The sequence below is a fragment of the Homo sapiens genome, chromosome 4, assembly GCF_000001405.40.
Source record: "Homo sapiens chromosome 4, GRCh38.p14 Primary Assembly".
Classification (NCBI taxonomy): domain Eukaryota; kingdom Metazoa; phylum Chordata; class Mammalia; order Primates; family Hominidae; genus Homo; species Homo sapiens.
Genome location: NC_000004.12, coordinates 125,634,463 through 125,639,946, shown reverse-complemented (window position 1 = coordinate 125,639,946; position 5,484 = coordinate 125,634,463). Strand labels below are relative to the sequence as shown.

The window sequence follows — 5,484 nt, the reverse complement described above, 5'->3', positions numbered from 1 at the left end:
CCTCCATGGAATAAGAATAGCAACATAAAACAGAAAAACTATAGCAAAAGCAACAACTGTGTGGTAGGAGCTGTTGGTGTGAGGTCCAATCAAACAGATTCTGGTGTTTCCTCCATTAATTTGGGTTACAACGTGTACTATGTAATTTCTTCAGAGAAAAAGAACCAAGAGAAGAGAAAGAGAGTGAGCGTGAGAGAGTAGGGGAGAGAGAGGTATTATGAGGAATTTGTTCATGTGGTTATGGGAAGCTGAAAAGTCCTGGGATTTGCTGTCTGCAAGCCAGCGATCCAGGAAAGCCATTGATGTAATTCAGTGTGAGTTTGAAGGCCTGAGAACGGGTAGGTGATGATGTAAATCCCTGTTTGAGGGCAGGTAAGGTGAGATGAGATGTTGCAGCTCAAGCAGTAAGGAAGGGGAGAAGGGGGGCAAGCTCCTCCTCCTCCTTTTGTTTTATACAGACACTTAATGGATTGCAGGATGCCTGCCCACACTGGGAGTGAGGGACAATCTGCTTTACTGAACCCACTAATTCAGATGCTGATCTCATCTGAAATGTTACAGGATTCCTTCGGTGCTGCTTTGTCAGCGGGAAATCTCTGTGGCCACCGTGACCTCTGCCTGCAGCCTTGTTTGGCCCGCTGGGCTCACTCCACCCACTCAGCCTGGCAGGCTGCACTTGGCTCACACCCTGCCCCAGATCCCACACATGCAAAGGGACTCTGCACTCAGCCCACAGCTGGACTGGACATGCCACGGGAGGTTTTCACCTTGGGCACTGGAGTCTAGATGAGGGGGAATGTGATGGCACCTAAAAACTCAGAAATTCCAGCAACTGCAGAGTCCCAAGGGGTGTTACAGCTCTCGCTGGGGGAATCCTGAGATCTGAGCCCCCAAGAAATGTTGTAGATCTTGTAGTTCAGCCAGCCAGCCAGGAGGGAATGGTGCCAAACTGCTTCACTTCTTCATGCCTGCAGCTAGGACAATGGGGGTGTGCTACAGTTCTCCTTGTTGCCTGCAGCTCAGCAGACAGGGGCATGTTATTGCTCTCCCTGTCACCCTCAGCTTGGTGGACAGGGGCGTGTGGTACCTAGCAGTCTTTTTACTCCTGCAGCTCAGCAAGCAGGAGCAGGTGTTATACCTCTTTTTGCACTCACCATTCTGCGGGCCTGGGTTCTTTTACATAACTGAGAAGAATGAGGTGTGTGGACACCAGAGAGTAAGCAAGGGAGAGAAGAATTTTACTGAGCCACAGAAAAGCTCTCCACATGAAAGGGAACCCAAAGTGGGTAGTCCTGTGTGTGAGAGGGGGCTGCAAATCATAGCCATCTGTAAGGCTGAGTCGAGGGTCTTTACGGGCTCAGAATGAGGGAGTGCATGCTGATTGGTCCATGGGAAGGCCTGGAAAAACACCATTCGATTGGCTAAAAGGCATCAAGGCAGTTCTCACTCTGGTCATGGACTTCACGTGGCACTGGCAGCTTGCTTTTCAGGCTTCAGGCTGTCTTTGGCTTAAGGTCAGTGACATGGTTTGGCTGTGTCCTCACCCAAATCTCATCTTAAATTGTAGCTCCTGTAATTCCTAAGTGTTGTGGGAGGGAACCAGTGAGAGATAACTGAATTATGGGGATGGTTTCCCCCATACTGTTCTTGTGGTAGTGAATAAGTCTCATGAGATCTGATGGTTTTATAAGGGGTTCTCCATTTTGCTTGGCTCTCATTCTCTCTTGCCTGTCACCTTGTAAGACATGCCTTTTGCCTTCCGCCATGATTGTGAGGCCTCCCCAACCATGTGGAACTGTGAGTCCATGAAACCTTTTTGCTTTATAAATTACCCAGTGCCAGGTATGTCTTTATCAGTAGTGTGAAAATGGACTAATAAAGTAAACTGGTACTGGGAATGGGGTGCTGCTGTCAAGATACCCAAAAATGTGAAAGCAACTTTGGAACTGGGTAACAGGAAGAGGTTGGAACAGTTTGGAGGGCTCAGAAGAAGATAGGAAAATGTGGGAAAGTTTGGAACATCTTAGAGACTTTTTTAATGACTTTGAGCAAAATGCTGATAATGAATTCCAGTGAAATCCGGGCTGAGGTGATCTCAGATGGAATTGAGGAACTTGTTGGGAACCAGAGTAAAGGTCACTCATGTTATGTTTAAGCAGAGACTGTGTGGTGGCATTTTGACCCTCCCCTAGAGATTTGTGGAACTTTGAACTTGAGGGAGATGATTTAAGGTATCTGGCAGAAGAAATTTCTAAGCAGCAAAGCATTCAAGGGGTGACTTGGGTGTTGTTAAAAACATTCCATTTTAAAAGGGAAACCAAGCATAAAAGTTTGGAAAATTTGTAGCCTGATGATGTGGTAGAAAAGAAAATCCAATTTTTTGGGGAGAAATTCAAGCTGGCTGCAGAAATTTGCATAAGTAACAAATGTTATTCACCAAGACAATGGGGAAAATGTCTCCAGGGCATGTCAGAGACCTTGGTAGCAGCTCACCCAATCATAGGCCTGGAGGCCTAGAAGGAAAATATGGTTTCATGGGCCGGGCCCAGGACCCCATGCTGTGTGCAGCCTAGAGACTTGGTGCCCTGCACCCCAGTCACTCTAACCATGGCTAAAAGGGGCCAAGGTACAACTTGGGCCGTGACTTCAGAGGGTGCAAGCCCCAAGCCTTGGCAGCTTCCACATGGTGTTGACGCTGCGGGTGCACAGAAGTCAAGAATTGATGTTTGGGAACCTCGGCCTAGATTTCAGAGGATGTATGGAAATGCCTGGATATTCAGGCAGAAGTTTGCTGCAGGGGCAGGGCCCTCATGGAGAACCTCTGCTAGGGCAGTGAGGAAGGAAAATGTGAAGTCAAAGCCTCAACAAAGAGTCTTCACTGGGGTACTGCCTGGTGGAGATGTGAGAAGAGGGACACCATCCTCCAGACCCCAGAATGGTAGATCCACCCACAGCTTGCACTGTGTACCTGGAAAATCCATAGACACTCAACACCAGCCTGTGAAAGCAGCCAGGAGGGAGGCCGTACCCTGCAAAGCCACAGGAGTGGAGCTGCCCAAGACCATGGGAACTCACCTCTTGCATCAGTGTGGCCTGGATGTGAGACATGGAGTCAAAAAAGATCATTTTGGAGCTTTAAGATTTGACTGCCCTGCTGAATTTAGCACTTGCATGGGGACTTTAGCCTCTTCAGTTTTGCCAATTTCTCCCATTTATAATGAGTGTATTTATCCAATGCTTGTATCCCCATTGTATCTAGGAAGTAACTAGCTTGCTTTTGATTTTATAGGCTCATAGGCAAAAAGAACTTGCTTTGTCTCAGATGAGATTTGGACTGTGGACTTTTGAGCTAATGCTGAAATGAGTTAAGACTCTGGGGGACCTTGGGAAGGCATGATTGGTTTTAAAATGTGAGGACATGAGATTTGGGAGGGGCCAGAGGCAGAATGATATAATTTGGCTGTGCCCCCATCCGAATCTCATCTTGAATTGTAGTTCCCATAATTCCCACATCTTGTGGGAGGAACCTGTTGGGAGATAATTGAATCATGCGGGCTGTTCCCCCCATACTGTTCTCATAGTAGTGAATAAGTCTCACGAGATCTGATGGTTTACAAGCAGTTTCCCCGTTCACTTGGCTCTCATTCTCTTCCCTTGCCTGCTGCCATGTAAGACATAGCTTTTGCCTTCTGCCATGATTGTGAGACCTCCCCAGCCATGTAGAACTGTGATTCCATTAAACCTCTTTCCTTTATACATTACCCAGTCTCAGGTATGTCTTTATCAGCAGCGTGAAAACTGACTAATACAGTTGGGTTTCACAGGGGACCCATCCTGTCTGCTTAGGAATTTGTCTGTCTCCTGTCACTATCAGAAACACTCTCATCAACAGAGCCAGAAATAATTTTTAATAGAGTTGCCTCAGGCAAGTTGATGCATTGAATTAAGCATCATGCAATAAAACTGCAAACTTACTTTCTAGATGCCCTTGGATATATATAAGGCTTATTAGAGTCCTTCTGAGAAATGTGTCTAGTTGTTTTATGAAACTAAAAGAAAAAGAGTTAGCAAGATTTACCTGACAAGAGGTATACCCCTTTTGTATTGGACACACAATTATACTTTTCTCTTACTTGAGAAGGAAAAATACTGCCTTAGGGGTTGAAGCAGAGTTAGAAGACCATTTAGTCCGATTTTTTTGTCCATGTATGAATTCCCTCATACTGATTCACCGAAGTGATCACAGCCTCATCCAGGGAAAGGAAATGTCCTTTTCATAGGGTACCCATATCTTTTTCAGATTCAATATAGGTTGCAAACTTTGTTTTTTCCAAATTGAATCAAATTTGTCTCCAAAATATATTATAAACTACCTTATTTTTTTCTCCAGTAGTGGCTTTTCTCATATATTTAACACTCAGAATGGATCATTTTTAATACCCCTGAATTTATATGACAAAACTATTTTTAGTAGCAATCAGGATGTGAAAAAATAGGCAGAGAAGAAACATAGCCAGTGAAAAGCTTCTTTTATTGAACTTCATATATGGAATTACATATACATTAAAATACTACAGCATCAAGAAGGAAAAGGAATATTTGGCTAGTACTTTTTTAACTATATGAATGTATGCTTTTTATTTTTATTTTTTTTTTTTGACACAAGGTCTCACTGTGTAACTCAGGCTGGAGTGCAGTTGTGTAATCATAGCTCACTGTAGCTTTGACCTCCTGGACTCAAGTGATCCTCCCACCTCAGCCTCCTAAGTAGTCAGGACTACATGTGTGTGCCACCATGCCCAGCTAATGTTTTTTTTTTTTCTTTTTTGGAGAAACAGAGTATCACAAATGTTGCCCAGGCTGGTCTCCAACTTCTAGGCTCAAGTGATCTTCCTGCCCTGGCCTTCCAAAGTCCTGAGATTACAGGTGTGAGCCACTGTACCTAACCTGATTATATGCTTTGACTCAGGTAGTAAAATTTACATCTATATATTAGTCTGTTTCATTAATGAATAAAAACTACATGACTTCTGTTTTGGGGTTTTGACATTTGCACATCTTTCATTATCTCTGTCAAAATTGATGTTCTTCACATACATAAATTCAATAGACAGTGTATATAGATATGCCAACCTATCACTCACAGGGATAAAAGAACACACTTTATTAATTTCAATTTTGAAAAGTTCTTTTGCATGAAGCCTCAAATATACAAATACTTAGGAAATGTCTAAAACACAAGGATGAGTTTGGCAGAGATTTATAAAAATCCAATGTCATGTTAAATTCCAGAAATCAAAATACTGTTCAGGCTTTTGTTCCTTTACATTTTTTCTAGCAGCTTTCAAATGTCCAAAATGTTTAAAGGCAAATAAAAACTTCAAGTTGTCATATAGAATGACAGATCTGAAGTGACTCAATTTCTGTTTCTTAGTTTTGCAATTACTTTGCTATCATTACTCATGTAAAATTACTGTCACAGGG

General features: G+C 43.5%; 2 annotated features.

Annotated features, from left to right (window-relative positions):
* Nucleotides 2,122-2,621: an enhancer, noted in NCBI's record as "H3K4me1 hESC enhancer chr4:126558481-126558980 (GRCh37/hg19 assembly coordinates)". NCBI's record gives its function as "activates a minimal SCP1, AML or CMV promoter by ChIP-STARR-seq in primed H9 embryonic stem cells {active_cell/tissue: H9 hESC(primed)}" and the evidence as "EXISTENCE:reporter gene assay evidence [ECO:0000049][PMID:30033119]".
* Nucleotides 2,622-3,123: an enhancer, noted in NCBI's record as "H3K4me1 hESC enhancer chr4:126557979-126558480 (GRCh37/hg19 assembly coordinates)". NCBI's record gives its function as "activates a minimal SCP1, AML or CMV promoter by ChIP-STARR-seq in primed H9 embryonic stem cells {active_cell/tissue: H9 hESC(primed)}" and the evidence as "EXISTENCE:reporter gene assay evidence [ECO:0000049][PMID:30033119]".